This window comes from Homo sapiens, chromosome 12, assembly GCF_000001405.40.
Source record: "Homo sapiens chromosome 12, GRCh38.p14 Primary Assembly".
In the NCBI taxonomy this organism is placed as follows: domain Eukaryota; kingdom Metazoa; phylum Chordata; class Mammalia; order Primates; family Hominidae; genus Homo; species Homo sapiens.
In genome coordinates this window covers 81151423-81170088 of record NC_000012.12, presented here as the reverse complement: position 1 = coordinate 81170088, position 18666 = coordinate 81151423, and the positions used below count along the sequence as shown (strand labels likewise).

The 18666-nt window shown below is 37.0% G+C and overlaps 1 protein-coding gene and 1 non-coding gene across 7 annotated transcripts in view; both read right to left on the bottom strand.

Moving 5' to 3' along the window:
* ACSS3 (acyl-CoA synthetase short chain family member 3) overlaps positions 1 to 18666 on the bottom strand; it is a 183340-nt gene that overhangs the window by 91122 nt on the left and 73552 nt on the right. For all 6 annotated transcript variants that reach the window (XR_944720.4, XM_047429549.1, NM_001330243.2 and 3 more), the window contains 2 exons: positions 18165 to 18245; positions 17993 to 18088 (listed from right to left, as the gene is read on the bottom strand). Coding sequence is in view for 5 of the 6 variants with exons in the window: in XM_047429549.1 (XP_047285505.1) it covers positions 17993 to 18088; positions 18165 to 18245 (177 nt within the window). In the remaining variant the exon portion in view is untranslated. The remainder of the gene's footprint in view (positions 1 to 17992; positions 18089 to 18164; positions 18246 to 18666) is intronic.
* On the bottom strand, positions 11628 to 11701 carry MIR4699 (microRNA 4699). The gene has a single exon (NR_039848.1). It is a non-coding gene; the product is annotated as a microRNA 4699 (primary transcript).

Sequence of the window (18666 nt, the reverse complement as noted above, 5' to 3'; positions counted from 1 at the left end):
TTCAGGTCTTGAGGTTAAGACTACTTGTGATTTCCCAGACACTGATATAAAACTTTTTGAGTCAACTGCAGTTTTGCCTCTTTTTTTGTGGCAGGATTAGAAATACATTTAGTCTCTTTCTGAGCACTACTTTTGAGAAATGTCACCCAAGGAATGTTTCCACAGCAGTTCTAAGGTGAAGACAGCAGCATCCTTTATCGACTAGTAGCAAATTTTATTTCAGCAGATAGGTGATGCAGAGAGTTGTTTTGTTTATTTCAGGAGAGTGATAAAACTAGAAATAGCATTTGTTGAATTTCTACTATAGGTCATGTGTCTTTATCAAGGGATGAGTGCTTGGGACAGCAACATTTAAACTTAAAACTTGTTAAAACATAAGCAGTTATCCAGGATATACTATTTAGTGAAAAAAAAATTAAAATGCAGAATAGTATGCATAGCATTTGTACAATTCCATTTGTATTAAAAAACAATAAAAGACATTGCTCATATATGAATTAACTATCATAACATATAAGATTGACAACCTTCAAGGGAGATAAATTGTAAAACTGGAACAGGGGATGGTGAGGTTTCCAATGTTTTCCCTTTCGTAAGTTTTAAAGTATGAAAAAAGAGGGTGTACAATCTCTTCAAAAATGGGCCTTTTCTTTCTCAATGCCCCTTTCTCTATAACTCACATTATTTTGTTCCAATTTTCAAAACATTATGTTGCTTTAAAGCCAAATGGGATAATTGTCCTATGCCTTAAGATCCTCAGATGAAGGACTTTGTGTTATGGCAGACGCTCCTTTAATAATTGAAAATTTACTTATAAATACAATCTGATTCAGATCAGACTGACTTCCTTGATTCTTACTTGCTAGGGATGTACCATCATTCTGTAGGCCTCACCTGTAAGGATAGGCTGCCATCTTGCCTTTCTCCATCTTATTCACACCACCATCTAACATTACTCAAATCCAGTGGTTACTAACCCTAAATATACAGTAGAACTTCTTGGGATGATTTTGAATGAAACCAATGTCTGGTCACACTTCCAGAGATTCTGATTCAATTGGCCTTGATTTGGGCTGAGCACTGTTGTGTTTTAGTTATTCTAATCTGCAGCCAAGTAATTCTAATCTGCGGCCAGGATTTAGAACTGATACATGGTCCTTCGATAGACATTATCTCAGACAAGGCTATTTTTCAATACCAACCTGCCTGGTTGCCCTAATGGATGAGCCTAGAATGTAACACTAGCTGTTTCTAATTTTCTCCATTTGTTATAAATAAATGAGCTAAATCCAAGTGTTAACAAGTGAATATAATGATAACTGAAATCTGATTATGACCATATACAGGGGAAATTACTGGGGAGAAATGCTTCACTGTCCTTAATTATTTATGCCTTGCCCTATAAACCAGACTCTAGACTGGACATAAATGTCATGATTTATAGGACATAGCACCCTGAGTACAACTGACCTTTCTCCAAAGATGGAAGGATTAGCTCTGACCCAGAAGCTCTTTATGTATTACCCAGAGACCTTTAAAGAGTATCACTCTCATCCAGTGTTTTCGTTGGTTGTATCACTACTTGAGAAGATTATATGTTAATTTCATAGATACGGAGTTCCTGACTCGAACTTCAGAGGAGTTCATGGATATTCTGAAATTAAATTAAGGTATGTACATATGTTCATTTTCCTATGGAAGAGGAGTCAATAGCTTCTATGGGATTCTAATAAGCGTCTATAAACAAAAATTGTCGAAGTATATGAAAGCCTCTCAAAACACAAAATGCTCCTTAAAGATTTTCTACTGGTCTCAGAAACAGCTTGGAGGAAGCAAGACTGCAGATGGTCATGTAGAGACCATAACATCCCTTCATTTTCTGTTCCACAAGATAGGTAAATTGCCAAGACTACCCTTTTAATGCACTTCTATTAAAGAGTTATAAATATTCTCAAAGAACCAACAATTTATTGGTCAATCTGAGGTCTCCAACCAACCTGTCTTCTTTCCCCACTCCCCATTACTTTAATCATATGGAATCACCATTTTCATAAGTCAAAGCAAATATCAGCAATGTCACATGGTTCAGATTAATACTTTCTATCAGTTTGCTATTTTGACAATCCCTCTTCACTATCTCCTTGTGGTAGGTCCCACATAGTTGCAATTCCTCAGGCTTGAGTCATTTCCTTTCTTCAATTAAGGATACAACTCTGTGTCCAGGCCTGAGAAGGTGAGACTTCTCCATGGCTAAAGCTCCAAGACACAAATATCTATAAATCTATTATTTTTGAAGATACATATGTACTAAGGTCTGAAACATGCCTCCCAAAATTCACGTGTTGAAAATTGAATCCCCAGTGCAACAGTGTTGGAAGGTGGGGCCTTTTGGAAGATGCTTAGGTTAGGAGGGCTCTGCTTTCATGAATGGACAAATGGTGCTAAAACAAAGGGTTTGTGGGAGTGAGTTTGTTCTCTTTTGTCCTTCTGTTCTTCTGCCATGTGCAGATACATGGTCCTCCTCTCTGGAGGACACAGAAACAAGGCACCATCTTGCAACAAGAGACAGAACCTTCCAGCACCTTGATCTTGAATGTCACAGCCTACACAACTGTATAGAACAGAATATATTTCTGTTCTATATATTTCAGAAATAAATTTCTGTTCTATATAAATTACCCCATCTGTTGTATTGTTATAGCAGCATAAAACAAACTAGGGCAGGGTGTGTATCCTAAATGGTCTAGATCTATCCTTTTGGTTTGGTTCTTCTCTCGTCCTTTCCTAGCTCTGAGAGTTGACAATTTGGGGTCTTATAATGAAGCCAACCCCCAATGAATAAGCCATTGTTTCTATCTAGCAGATAAGAGTCTATCTAATCCCCTTTAAAAAAAGTTTACCTTTGGAAGTATTAATGTCAAGTAAATGAAGCAGAGAATGGAAACTGCTAATTCTGCAGATGCAGTGCTAAGCAAATTAGGGACTCTGACATATTTAACATTCTCAGTAGTCACAGAGAGCATTTACCCCTAGTATACAGCTCGTAGCTCATTGCTTCTAGCAGGACTGTTTTCATCTCTGAGTTATTTCATGTGGATGTGCAGTCACTCTGCCATCCTGTACTGGAGGGACAAATTAAGGTTTTTCTTATTCAGTGTGATTAATGAGACTTTGCTGCAAGCAGAGAAATTAAATGGGTTCTTGCTTAATCACACTGCCAGACTTCTGCCCAGGAAGTGAAGTGTGGCTATTCCATATGCATACTACGATTCAACCTGAGGTTGCACAAAACCTGGTCCCTCCATAACATCCAATTCTTTGTCCAAAACAACCTTCAAACATGCTCAGATTTCTCCATGTCAAAAATGAAACAACAAACTTTCCTGTGAAATTGCCCTCATAAAAGGGGCTAATGATACCCTGATCACCAAAGTGCTCTTCAGTTGTCTTATCAGTCTTTTCTCTGTAGCACTTGGCACTGTTGATCCTCATCCTCTGAAAAACCTTCTCGTCACCCTTCTTTAGTACACTTTGCTTTTCGGATTCTCCTGTTGACTCCAATTTCTAACTCTCAATTTATATAGTTTCTCTTCCTCAGCCTCAAGAATTTCCTAAGTTTCTGTTCTCAATCTTCACCTGGTAACTTGATCAAATCTTACTTCACAATGTCATACAAACATCTGAGTACAACCTTCAAACTCAGTATTATCAAAACAAAAAGTATTGCTTCCCTCTCCACCAGTTGTTCCTCCTACTGTAGTACTTCAGTTGATAACTGCCATTATATTGGTTGTCCTAGCTGAAGACATCAGAGCCATTTTCAGCTCCCTTTTCATCTCTTACAATAGCCACCTGACACCCTAACCTCCTTCTCAATATTCTGATCACTGATATTCTAGTCCTGGCCACGTATCTTGGACTACACAACAATCCAAGTCCAATTGGACTTCCCAATTGTCCCTCTCCAGATTATGGCAAGGGAATCCTGCTTTTGAATCCAGAGAAGCTTGTTTCAAATCCCAGCTCCAGCCCCATTGTGTCACTGGCAAATTTATTTGCTGTCTCTGTTCTTAGTTTCTACAGCTGTAAATGGGGTACTTAAAATATCTACATCATGAGTTTGTACTTATAATTAAAACAATGTATAAAAAGTGCTTAGAAGAGTTCTGATCACTCAACACTCAATCAATAATAATTATTATTAATTGTTATTGTCTCATTCACAAAGTTCTTCCTATCTACTAGTTGCAAACATCCCTTAAAAACCTAGTGCAGATTTTTAAGCCAGCATGCAAGAGTTAAATGTAGAGTATTTATCATAGGTGATGACACCATGTAGTTTACAAATAAATTGTCATCTTCTACACAGTGTAAGAGTTTGTTAGGTGTGTCTTGATTTGTTTGCTTTCTGTACTTTATATTAATCTTTTTTTTTTTCTTTTTGAGACAGAGTCTCGCTCTGTTGCCAGGCTGCAAGTGCAGTGGTGCAATCTTGGTTCACTGCGAACTCCACCTCCCAGGTTCACACCGTTCTCCTGCCTCAGCCTCCCAAGTAGCTGGGACTACAGGTGCCCACCACCACGCCTGGCTAATTTTTTTGTATTTTTAGTAGAGACGGGGTTTCACTGTGTTAGCCAGGATGGTCTCGATCTCCTGACCTCGTGATCCGCCTGTCTTGGCCTCCCGAACTGCTGGGATTACAGGCATGAGCCACTGCGCCCGGCCTCTGTACTTTATATTAATCTTAATTCCTTGAATATATTGTCAGAGCCTTTGGTGGAAGGCCATATCTGATATTTATTCTGCTTCCCCATCACCTTCTAGCATGATTTGGAGCTGACAATAGACATTAGTAAATATTGTTGATGGAGCTATGACAATAACTGAGCTTGCTAGCTCCAACATAAAACATAGACATACATAAAGGGAAAAAGGAACTCAAAAATAAATATTTTTTTAACAACTAGTCATGGGAAAAATCTAAAAGATGCTAGCATCAGCTTTATAATCTTTTCCAATTGGGAAGATCAAATTATATAGCCTGAATCAGAGTAATAGCTGAGTCATCATTTTTCTCATTCTATATACACAGAAGGCAGATTGCTATATACTAGATTTTTTTAAATGTTATTTCCCATTACATGAAGGGAAGAAAAGGACTATGATGTGTCCAGTTGAATATACTAGTTAGCAGAATCATGGCTACTTGTTTTAAAAGGAAATAGCATATTTCTGTCTTTAAAAGAAGCAAATCCCTGTCCTTGAAAAAGGAATAAACAAATTAAACTGGTTAATATAAATAAAAATACAAAATTCTTGCAAAGAGAAGATAACTACCTCCATGTAGGTAAAATTACACTGTGAAAATGAAGCCTGGGAGGAGTTAAGTATTCAGAAGGTGTACATGTGAAAAATACAGTATAGGATGACTTAGTGGAGATTACAGATACAGGGAAATACAGAATTGAGATGTTCATTAAAGATACTTTGGGGATAATTTAGCAAGAGTATTAAATGCAAAAAATAACTTGCGAGCAGTTCCTACCCTCAATATTTTCAAATATGAGACTTGCATATTTGGAAATGGCTTAGAGTTTTAGTCCACACATATAAAGTGATAATGATTACTCTTATTTACACATGTATAAAATGTACAATCACATGTTGCTTGATGATGAGAATACTTTCTGACATATGTATCTTTAGGTGATTTTAGCATTGTGAAAACCTCACAGAGTGTATTTATACAAACCTAGATGGTGAAGCCTACCACACACTGAGGCTATATGGTATTGCCTCTTACTCCAAGGCTACATATCTGTACAGCATGTTACTGTACTGAATACTGTAGACAACTGTATCACAATGGTAAGTGACTGTGTACCTAAACATGTTTAAGCATAGAAAAATAACAGTAAAAATATGGTATAAAAGATAAAAAATGCTACACCTACATAGGGCACTTACTAGAAATGGAGCTTATAGAACTAGGAGTTGCTTTGTGTGAGTCAGTGAGTGAGTGGTGAATGAATATGAAGGTGTAGGACATTATTGTACAATACTACATATTGTATAAACACTGCACACTTAAGCTACACTAAATTTCTAAAGAAGTAGTTTTATTTCTCCAATAATAAATTAAACTTGGCTTACTGTAACTATTTTACTTTATAAATGTTTTAGTTTTTTAAATTTTTGACTTGTAATAAGACAGCTTAAAAGACAAACACATTGTACAACTGAACAAAATTATTTTCTTTGTTTACATGTTCATTCTATAAGTTTTTTCCATTTTAAAAATTTCAATTTTTAAAAAACTTTAAACTTTTTTGTTTAAAAACTAAGACACAAACATACACATTAGCCTAGGCCTACACAGGATCAGGATTGTCGGTATCACTGTCTTCCATCTCCACAATTTGTCTCACTGGAAGCTCTACTAGGGCAAGCATAGAGCTGTCATCTCCTATGACAATAATGACTTCTTCTGGAATACCACCTGAAGGATCTGTCTGAGACTGTTTTAGAGTTAACCTTTTTTAATATGTAGGAGTACGCTCTAAAATAAAGATAAAAGGTATAGTATAGTAAATATACAAACCAGCCACAGTCGTTTGTTATCATTATCAAGTATTAATGTGCTGCACATAATTGCATGTGTTATACTTTTACCCCATTGGCAGCACAGTAGGTTTGTTTATACCAGCATCACAAACGTGAGAAATGCAATGTGTGACAACATTATGATGATAGGAAATTTCCAGCTCCATTATAATCTTATGGGACCACAATGTATATGTGATCTATCACTGACCAAAACATTTTTATGTAACACATGATTGGACTTTATAAAAAAATAATATTTTTGAAACGTTTGAACTACTTTCAACTACACTATCCCATTTGATTCCTAAACAAATATAAAGACTACAGAGTTCATTTCTATACCGATCATTCTATAAAGAAAGGTTAGTGGCAGCAGCAGTGGCCCATCTGGAATGGTTACTGTGGAGACAACTTTCCAAGCTGGTGGGATAGGATCCCAGTCCTCTGGGCCGCAGCTGCAGCCACCCAGCCATCCCTGTGTTCTCGGAGGCCCAGGAAGCCCCTGTCCCCACACAGGCTTGGAAGTGCCTGCTCCTGCTGCATGGCCTCTCCCTGCTCCTGGTGCCTGCTCTGATTTCATAGCAAAGTTGTGGCCCTGTCCAGGTGATGTCACAACACAGCCGAGTGTGTGCACACTCAGGGCACTGCAAACATGCCAGCCCCCTACCTCCTTGGCCCCCTCTGAACTCTGGGTGTCAACGAGCACAGGAGGGGGATCAAAGGGGGCTGAGGATGGTTCAGCACATGCCTGCAGGTGCCCCTCAGCATGGACAGCCAGGGTGCCATGGACAACATGTTAATGACAGCAGGAGGTAGACAGGCTTCTGGGTGGAAAGGGGTGGGTCCCCAGTGAAGCCTCCCCTTCAAGGCAGGGACAGCCTGAAACCTGAGAGCAGGGCTGTCAGTTCTGGGTGGGGTCCCAGGCCCAGAGTGAGAACTTATGGTGCTTTTTCCAGGCCATCCATGGCTGCTAATAGGCCAATCAGCATGCACTTTCTCCCTTCTGAAGACCATAAAAACCCCAGACTCAGCCAGACTCACAGAGTTGAGGGACAGCTTGCCTGCAGATAGGAGTTATCCATTCCAGAGGGCTGCAGACTCAATGGGATGACTTGCCTGCCAATAGGAACTACCCACTCTGGGTGTCCTCTCAGCTGCAAGCTGCACAGATATTGGGATGACCTGCCTCCAGATAGGAGCTACCCTCTCCAGGTCTCCTCTTGCCTGTGGACAGGACCTACCCACTTCATGTCTTCAGAGACCGTACTGTTGCTCAATTAAAGCACCTCTTTGCCTTGCTCACCCTCCAGTTGTCTGCATACTCATGCATCCTTGACATGGGACAAGAACTCAGGATTCACCAAATGGCTGAACTGAAAGAGCTATAGCACAAACAGGGCTGAAACACGGCCTCCGTCCCTGCTTGTCATGTTATGGGTGACAAGAAGGAGAGAAGGGCTGTGGCCCTTTGAGCAGCCCAGACCTGGGGGCTCCCCAAGCCAGGGCTGTGACAAACTTTTTGGGGCTCTGCAGTTCCTGGCATCTCCAAGCTTCCATGTGCCACCATGTTTCCCTCGTCCAGACACAGGTCCGTAGTGGCTCCTGGAGCTGCCCAACCAGCATTAACAACCAGTGTGCCTGACTGTGTGCAGTGGCTGGACCCCACGCTTGCATGCTCACACACCCCTTGCCATTTTGGTCCTGGCTTGCCCTTGGCAGGCATGGGATCCAGGCCAGTAGGACAAGCTGAGCACAGCCTGCCAGGACAAGTGGGCAGAGAGAGCCCAGCAGGCTCAAGTAAAACTCAAGACAAAGCATCACCAGCTGCAGAGGCTTCTGGCTGGAAAAGCAACATCCCAAGGGTCCTGTGACATTAGGGTTATCTAAACTCTCCATTCTGTCTATGAATTTAAGAAAAAGCATTCAGTAAGAGATTATCAAGCTGAATACTATGAAGTTTTCAAACTTTTATGCAAAGTTGAAAAACTAGCAATGATAATGCCCATCAAAAAAATAGAAGTGAAACATTAAAATGCTTGGTAATGGTGAGCCAGGGAATTCTCTGTGTTATTCACTGATTAAAGCCTTCGAGTTCACTTTTATTTAACTCACAAGTCCTACACTTAAAGGATAGATCTACAAGGGGAGAGACCACCGAGTTTTCTCCTATATCTTCTGCTCATTCTTCAAAATTCGTAGTAGCTGAATCAACACATCCCTGTATGCTGATTTCTTTTTTCTTGGTGCTGAGAGGAGAATTAATGGGCTCCAAAGGGAGCTGCCTCTAGTGCTCTGATTTGAATTCTTCAATGTTATGAGGACAAACAGACTTTGAAAGAAGAAATGTGAGTAATATTCAAGCATTTAAGTGACTGGATTACAGGAGAATTTATGTTTAGTGTTTATATATTAGAATTCTATTCTGGGAAATAATACATTTGTGTTTTTGAATAATAACTATAGCTTATAATATCCAGAACTGATTACACTATTATATCGTGGGAATTATTCTAAATATTTATTCACAGATTAACCAATTGAATGCCATAGGTATTATTACTACTGATAATTATAGTTCAGAAGACTAAGGCAGAAAGCAGTAAAGCAGCTTGAGGCCACACAATTAATAAACAGAAGTGTCAGAAATCATACCATGGCAGCCTTAACTAGTATGCTTCCTCTCAAACACTAAAAGTATTCACTAATTTAAAGTGAAAGTTTTCTTCAGTAAATATATTTGAAGAATCAGCATTCCCTAACTATGAAAAGAAATTGGAATAAATTCCAGAGTTAAAAAATAAAATAAGTTACCAAATAATATATTTATTCAAGAAAACCAATTAAAGTGAAGAAGATTCACAAAAGTGAAAATTGAGACAGTGTGTGTCAACCCTCTCATTTTAATGATTAAAAAATGAACTACCAAAGAGGTTTAATTAATTTGCTTAAGTCATATAGGTACATAAAGGCAGAGCAAGATAACCACACATATGTTAGTATTTCTAGTCCAGCGACCATACTCCTGTACCATCATTCAGAATTTTAAATCCTCACCTTTCTCTAATTCAATTTATTGCCTGAGAAGGCAGAGTATGGCATATACCTTCAAAGTTAATTGTTGAATTATTAACAAATAGCCATCTGCCCTTGCTAATCTAGTAAACATACTGAAGAATTTATTGAAAAGGCTTGTTGCTGTGATGTATACCATATGTGAAATACAAACAAATGTAAAATGAGAGCAAACTTATATCCCTTGACTGGAAAAGAAGACTGTTATTACATAAAAATGACAACTGCTATATCAAGACCAATTATACCAACCAGTTTATGGCTTACTCTAAAGCCGGATTTAAGGAGAAACAGTAACTACTAACATTCCATTTTAGACCTACGTAATACTCTAGCCAAGGAACAGTAATCTCATTTCTTGCTTAACCACACCACTGTCATTGTGGAAGCCTGGGCTTACTGTATCATGAAATTGAAATATGTGTACAACACACACTTTTGCACATTGGTAGACAGCAAAGATAAGGAGAAAGGCAGGACACGGAAAGATTTATTTGCCTTAGAGAAATGTGTTGGATTTTGATTCTGCAGATGACAGTCTGGTAAAGGGAAGAAATACTAGAAAGAAGAGAGAGGCAAGGGAGCATATCTCTGTATAATCACCATTTGCCATCACACACATGTGAATGCGCATACACACTAGGCTGTTAGCTAAATTTGTTTGTACATTGCATTCCTATGTGAAAAGATTGCTTGTGTTTTATCCCTTCTCTTTGGCAAAACCATCCTACCAAATATCTGTTCTTGTTCATACACGGTTAGGGTTAGATCTATTGGAATCACTGCTCTATTAATGAAGTAGATTTCTAAAGAAGTACCATTCAATTTTTTCCTCTCAAAAGTAAAGACTAAATTATTCAGAATTGGTTTCCATATTTTAACTGGTCAATCCAATTTTCCTTCAAGAATTGCATACTTTAAACATCTCATACTGCACTGACTGAGCTGGCCAGGTGTTTTGTATTTAAATATGTCCAATTCCATTGATAAAAGTAAATCTCTGTCTATAAAACATATATCCTGACTTATTCCTTTATTATTTGGTAACTTTATTATTCTTTCCTGGTTTTGGGCATATTTTGTTCCTTTTTTCCTAGGTTCTTGAGATAGGAGCTTATATTCTTGATTTGAGTGTTTTCCTCTTTTCTAATCTATCTATTTAGTGCTATAAATTTCCCTCTCAGAAAATAAACTACTTAAATACAGGTGTTCTGTATTTAAATATGTCCAATTCCACTGATAAAAGTAAATCTCTGTCTATAAAACATATAACCTGACTTATATAAGTTGCTCATGCAGTCCTGTTGTAAAAAAAAGAAAATTTAAATTACTCTTACTCATTGATAGAAAAAATCTTTACGTATAAATCAAGTTTTCTTCTGATATTGTCATTCAGGCATTTATTTAACAAATATGTATTAAATACTGAATATGTGTCATTAAGGCAAGGAGCTGAGAATTGACGGTGGACACAAACTCAGATGACTCCTTCCTTAGTACAGTTAGAGGAAAGAAGGGCAAACGAACACATCAAAGGAGCCTAAAGACTAATATGAATCTGCAAGTTTTATACAAACCACCAAGGGAAAATGCAATGTGCTAAAAGACCATGATAAAGGGATTTGACCTAATCAGGGAGGTCAAGGAGGGCTTCCCTGAGGAAGTGACACCAGCTGAAATCTAACAGACAAGTAGCATATATTTCAGGCAATGTTCCTGGGACAGGAATGAGCATAAGAATAACTGCAGGGAAACAGGAGCATGTGGTACATTAGACAGGAGCACGTTGTACCTTGGAAGGAAAGAGAATGATTAGGATCGAGCAAATGGCCAACACTTTCAAATGCTGAGGAGTCAAGCACAGTGAAGACTGAAAATGCCCATTGACTTTGGCAAGTAGAGATGACTGGGGATGTTAGGAAAAGCTGTAGCTATGGAATGATGGTGACAGCAATTGGAGAAGATTGCAGAGTAAATTCCATTTCTTAATCAGGAACTTACTCTGCAATCTTCTCCAATTGCTGTTGAAGCTGTTGAGTGTAGACAAGGCCTTAAAGAGAGAATGTTGTAGCTGTCAGGAGATAAGGGATTAGAGATTTTTGTTGTTGTTTGTTTTAATGAGGTAGTTTTATGAATTTGTTTGAAAATGTGGTAATTATCAGGAAAATAAGCAGATTTACATGCAGTTGTAAGAAGTAATACAGAGATATACCCTTTAACCAGTTTTCCCCAGGTGTAAAAACTGCAAAACTACAATATGTTATCACAATCAGAATATTGATACAGTCAAGATACAAACCAGTTCATCTCTACAAGGATCCTTCGTGATGCCCTTTATGGCCATATGTGGCCATTGCTGATTTATAGAGACACAATGAATATTTGTATGTTAATCTTGTATCCTGAGACTGGGTTGAACTCACTTATTAGTTATGGGATTTGTGTGTGTGTGTGTGTGTGTGTGTGTGTGTGTGTGTGTATTCTGTAATCATTTATGCAAATAATCATGCCATCTGCAAATAAAGACAATTTTATTTCTACCCTTCTGGTGTGTATGCCTTTTCTTCCTCTATATTTCTGTTTATATTTATTTATTTATTTTTTGAGAGGGAGTCTTGCTCTGTTGCCCAGGCTGGAGTGCAGTGTTGCGATCTTGGCTCACTGCAACTTCCACCTCCTGGGTTCAAGCGATTCTCTTGCCTCAGCCTCCCGAGTAGCTGGGACTATAGGTGCGCACCACCATGCCTGGCTAATTTTTGTATTTTTAGTAGAGATGGGGTTTCACCATATTGGTCAGGCTGACCTTGAACTCCTGACCTCATGATCTGCCCGCCTTGACCTCCCAAAGTGCTGGGATTACAGGCGTGAGCCACCGCGCCCAGCTTCCCTATACTTCTTTATTAAATGAGCTAGAACTTCCACAGATATGTTGAATAGAGGGTGAGAGTGGAAATACTTGCCTTGTTCCTGAACAACAGAGGAGAAACAATCAGGCTTTTATGATTAGGTATGATATTAGCAGCAGGTTTTTTCATAGGTGATCTTTTGTCAGGTTGAGGAAGTTCCTTTCAATTACTAGTTTTCTGATAGCTCTTCATTATGAATGAATGTTGAATTTATTAAACAACTTTTTCTACATCAATTAATATGATTATATAATTTTTCTGTAGCCTATTAATATGGTAGATTACCTTGATTAATTTTCAGATATTGAAGCAGCCTTGTACCTCTGGAATAAATTCCACTTGGTCACAGTGTATAATTCATTTTATAGATTGCTGAATTGTTGAATTCAAAATATTTGCTAATATTTTGTCAAGAATTCTTGTATCTATATGTTTATGAAGGACATTAGTTTGTAGTATTTTTTTTTGTCGTTGACTTTTTATTAGGGCAATACAAGCTTCATTAAATGATAAGGAGAGTGTTCCCTCCTCTTCTATTTTCTGAAAGAGACTGTGAAGAAATGGTATTGATTCTCCCTTAAACATTAGTAGATGGCACATGGAATACAGAAATACCAGCCACCTGCCTCCTCTTCTATTTTAAACATTGGTAGAATTTTCCAGTAAAACCATCTGTGTCTGGAGATTTCTTGTTGGGAGTCTATTTAATTACATATTGGATTTTCTTAATAGTAATAAGGCTATTCTAGTAATTTATTTCTCATTTGGTGAGTTTATGGTTTTTGAGGAATTAGTCTATTTCATCTTCATCTAAGTTGTCAAATTTATGTGTGTTGAATTTCTCATAGTATTCCCCTATTACACTTTTGATGTCTGCAGCGTCTTTAGTGATATCTACTGTTTCACATGTGGTACTGGTAATTTGTGTCTTCTGTCTCTTTTCTTTGCTAGGCTTGTAGAGGTTTGTCCATTTCATTTATCTTTTCAAAGAAATAGTTCTTTTTCATTAATTTTCTATGTTTTTATGTTTTCAATGTTATTGATTCCTGCTTTTACCTTTATTATTCCTTCCTGGTTTTAGGTATATTTTGTTCCTCTTTTCCTAGGATCTTGAGATAGGAGCTTATATTCTTGATTTGAGAGTTTTCCTCTTTTCTAGTATATCCATTTAGTGCTATAAATTTCCCTCTCAGAACTGCCTTAGTTGTGTCCTCCAAAATTTTATATGATGTACTTTCTTTTTCAATCAGTTTGAGATATATACACCCAGAGACGTGTGTGTGTGTGTGTGTGTGGGGTGTGTGTGTGTGTGTGTGTGTTTTCCTGGATATTTCCTATTTGACCTATGGATTATTTATTTAGAAGTATATTGATTAGATTCCAATTGTTTGGGGATTTTCCTGTTAACTCTTTTTAATTTTTAGTTTGAAAATACTGTGGTCTTAAAATAGACTTTGCATGACTTCAAATATTTTTAAATTAGTTGAAGTTTGTTTCGTGGCCCAGGTTTTCGTTTATCTTGGTAATTATTCTGTGGGCATTTAAAAAGAATGTGTATTCTGCTGCTGTCGAGAATAGTTTTCTATGAATGTCAATTAAATCTTGTTGGTTGATGATGTCAAGTTTTTCTACATCTTCACTGACTTTCTGTCTGTTGTTTTATCAATATTAAGAGAGAAGTGTATCTAATGATAACCTGAAATATGTAACTGGAATGTATAGGCACACATCATATCAGAAGCCAAAACATAGAATGGACATAAGTCAACATGACATATTTGTGCATGAGCTGAATATCAGCCCTGAATACATGTCAAGAGGCATGGAAAAAAGAGGACACTTTTGATAAGTACTGAATAAGTAGATTCAACAAACTGTAATGACCAGCAGAGTGTGAGATGCAAGGAAAATGAACTTAAGAATCACTTGCAGATTCTCAGTTTGCATTACTGCATGAATGGAGGTAACATTAACAGAAACACAGAGTGCACTGAAGGAAATATGGTTTGCAGGGTGGGGTGGAGATACAGAACTCAGTTCATGTCATCTTGGGCATAAGATGTGCACAGACTATTCAGAGATGTCTAACAATAGGTTAGTACTCAGCAGGAAAGGCAGATATAAAAAGGGGATTTAGAAGCCATGATTTAATTAATGATCCTCAAATATAAACTGCTTGGAGATTATCCAGGAAACGTAAGCAGAATAAGAAAATAGAGCAAAGACTATGATCCTGCTAAACTCTAATGTTAAGGACCAAAGTGAAAGAAACAAAGAGAAGAAAAGAAGAACAAGCTGTCAGGATGGAAGAAAGAAAACGAGGAGTAGAGTATAATTTAGTTCCACAAGTATTTATTAATTGTGTAGTGTGTGCTATGCACTGTGCTGTGAAACTGGCTTTTATCCTCTTCGAGATGATACCCTCTTCTAGACATAAATGTATCATTTCAGTATAGTGTGGCCAGCTCAGTGACAGACATATGCTCGAAAGCAACGGGACCACAAAAAGGGGCACTGCACACAGCCCAAGAACGTGAGAGAAAACTTTCAAGAAATTATAACATCTAAGCAGAGTCTACAAGGAGAGTAGGAGTTAACCAAGAAAGGAAAGACAGGAGGAAAGTCACACCAGAAAAAAGAAACAACATGAACATTAGCCAAAGAGCCTGGAGCTCAAGAGAGAGGAAAGGATCACCTAAAGGAATGGTCTGCAGGGCTGAACTCTAGTAAGAGAAAAAATAAAATCAGATTAAACAAGGCCCTTTGACTTTGTCACTTATGAAGTCACTGGTGACCCCTGCTGCAGCAGCTTCTATGAAATGATGTGAACATAAATCAGACTACGGTGAGATGAGGAATAACTGAAACAATATGAGGTTCAGGAATCTGGGCAGGATATTTTTTCAAGGAATTTAGTGGAGAAGAAAATAAAGATGGCATAGTTGAAGCAGGCAAAGGTCTAAAAGACTTGGTTTTGTGACCAGAGAAAGTCAAAGACATTTATAAGTTGTAGAAAACAAGCCAGAGGGCAGAGAAAAGGTTTTAAATAGTAGCTTACTTCAGTCAATTATTCACACAACAAATATTTATAGAGCATCTACACTCTTCTTGAGCAAATCATTCCAACATAGAAACAAACAACCCTCCATCACAGTGTTAATATCATGTTTCAAATAAACTTGAGAAACAATAAAAGCCCATGGTAAATAGCGCAAAATATGTATGTATCTCAATTCTAAAGCAGCTTAATGCTTATAACCAAAAATATGTTAGCATCTTTGGCTTTGTCATATTTATGTAAGCAATGCCACAATTCAAAATAACTATTCAGTGTAGAGGTTTATTTTGTTTACTTCAAGAGAAATAATTTTTTAAATTAAAAACATTATATTGCAAAGACAATGGTACAAAATGTTTTCTCAAGATTATTTTGTTTTAATTATTACAAATACCTAAATGCACATTCAGTATGCAAGATATAAAAGCACTATACAAAAGCTGCAGAGTAGTATATGAATTCCCAAATGCATATCAAGTCCGCAAGATATAAAAGCATGATACAAAAGTGTAGAGTAGTATATGATGGTTTAATACTTGTGTCAAAGTCTACCTTAATATTTCTTAGCATTCAGAGACAGAAAATCAGCCAGCTAAAAATGAAAGAACACAAATAGCCTTTAAGTGATGATGAGGCCTGGAGTATTCCAGAAAGATTGAGAATGGCCTCTCATGTTTTCAAATTCATTGACTTGCAGAAATTTAAGAGTGCAAATTAACTTGAAATCACTTAATACTATTCTCCACACCCCACATATAAAATTCCCTTTACTTCACAATCCTTGTCTGGTATTGACAGAACACTTATGTGAGAGAGAGCCTTATATTTGAGAAGTTGTCCATTTGTTCTACTGCCAAGCATTTAAGTTTGTCTCTGATTATTCCCAAAATATAACCCTCTGTAACTCCGCATTCAAGACTACATAATTTATATGTAGCAACTTTTTAAACATCAAAATATACTTATAATATCTGCACTTTAAGTGTATTATTTGTCAGACTAGCCATTCCCAATTTCTTCACCTTTTTTTTTTTTTTTTGAGATGGAGTCTCACTCTGTCGCCCAGGCTGGAGTGCAGCTGCATGATCTCAGCTCACTGCAACCTCTACCTCCCAGGTTCAAGTGATTCTCCTGCCTCAGCCTCCTGAGTAGCTGGGATTACAGGCATGCACCACCAGGTCTGGCTATTTTTTGCATTTTTAGTACAGACAGGGCTTCACCATGTTTGGCAGGCTGGTCTCGAACTCCTGACCTCAAGTGATCCACCTGCCTCGGCCTCCCAAAGTGCTGGGATTATAGGCATAAGCCAACATGCCCAGCCCACCTCTTTCTTGTATACATTATTTCCATGCTACTCCCTTTTTTCAGATGCTTTCTAGTAATTTAGTGATTTTTTTTATCATCTCAATTAAACTGAATACAAATTTTCAAATGTGGAAGAGTAAAGTAAGATTACATCATTGCACATGGTAAGTATTTTTTAAAAACAGTCCTACCAACAGCTTATGTTTAAGTTATGGATGTTATAATACCCAGAGATTTGGCTACATAAACTACAACTAACCCAAGTTTTCCCTATTTCATTTCTGTATTTTTTAATTTAAATATAGAACTGTAAATATTTATGTATTTTTCCATCTTGTTAAATTTGTCCCAAAAGTCCAAGGCCATTTTGAATGATAATTTAGCAAACTACCATATTAGTTATCCCTCCAAGACTTTGATCTTCTACAGATCTGATAGGTATGTTTTCTAAGTCTTTATACAAGACATTGATAAAGTTAAATGGAATAGGCATATGAAGTAAATTTCCTATATGCAAAGAAATCTTATTCCTAGGTGACACTGATATATTCATCGAATTTTTAAACAGTTATTTATTCAGGTATAAATCTGGTCAGTCTATATTCCTATGTCTTATACACAGAGCTTTATTAGAAACCAAGGAAAGTATTTATTTAAAATTGAGACAACATGACTTTGGAAATCCATTAATCCTATGAAAATAAAAAAGGTGAATCTACATTGCTTGTTTTATGATAACTATTTTCTAGGACTCTAAAATCAGTATCAGTTTGCCAATAATTTCTAGAAATGTTAGGGATAGATATAAAGCTTGTTTTTGTATGTTCTTCAGAATTTAATTCTGACTGTTCAACAAAATTTAAATAACAGGCTAATATTTCCTACATATCCTTTTCCCTTTCAAAATTATATTTTTAACTGGAAGAAGATATAATAATGTCCCCTGTCCCCACCCCAATTTTTCTGATCCTACTCAGGACTGCTTCATGAAAAGTTTTAATAAAATAAATATCATTTATATGTGGTATTAACTTTACTTTATTACCTCATATAAAACTGTTGTGTTCCCATGAAGAAGAGGTCCATAGCAGATATAGGAATGTCCAACAACCCAGCCTAAGTCAGAAGCTGCCCACCACACCTAAAAAATAAGATAATAAAATGAATATATTTTATTCAGAGAATGTCATGTAATGTAAATTTAAAACCACGATTACCTCTCCGGGTTGAAGTCCGTATATGGAAGACATTGACCAGTGTAGCATGACAGCGTATCCCCCAGTGGGCCTAATCACACCCTAAGGAGAGAAAAAGTGAAATTAAAATCAATAAACAATGTGTAAAAACACTCTCTATCTTCATAGCATCCACTTTAAAAGTTCCTGGTCAAAAGTATTTTATATATTAGCTACAAGTTACTTTGGCTTTTATAAAATTATCTTTGAATCATTATTTCTTTGGGTCCTTCAATAGTCAACACAAAATAATTTGTCCTCATTAGTGCCATTTTTAGAATCCATTCTCACATAACATTATTAGTCTTCTAAAGAAAACATGATTTCACAAAATTACATGCAATACAAACTTTTCTAATGGCACCACACATTATCAACACTACATTTTCAGACATATTTCCAGAACAAAATTTAATGCGAAGAAAGGTAAAATGTAGTTATACACCTCAAATGCAGACTAACATAAGGACCTCTATTTCTTAAG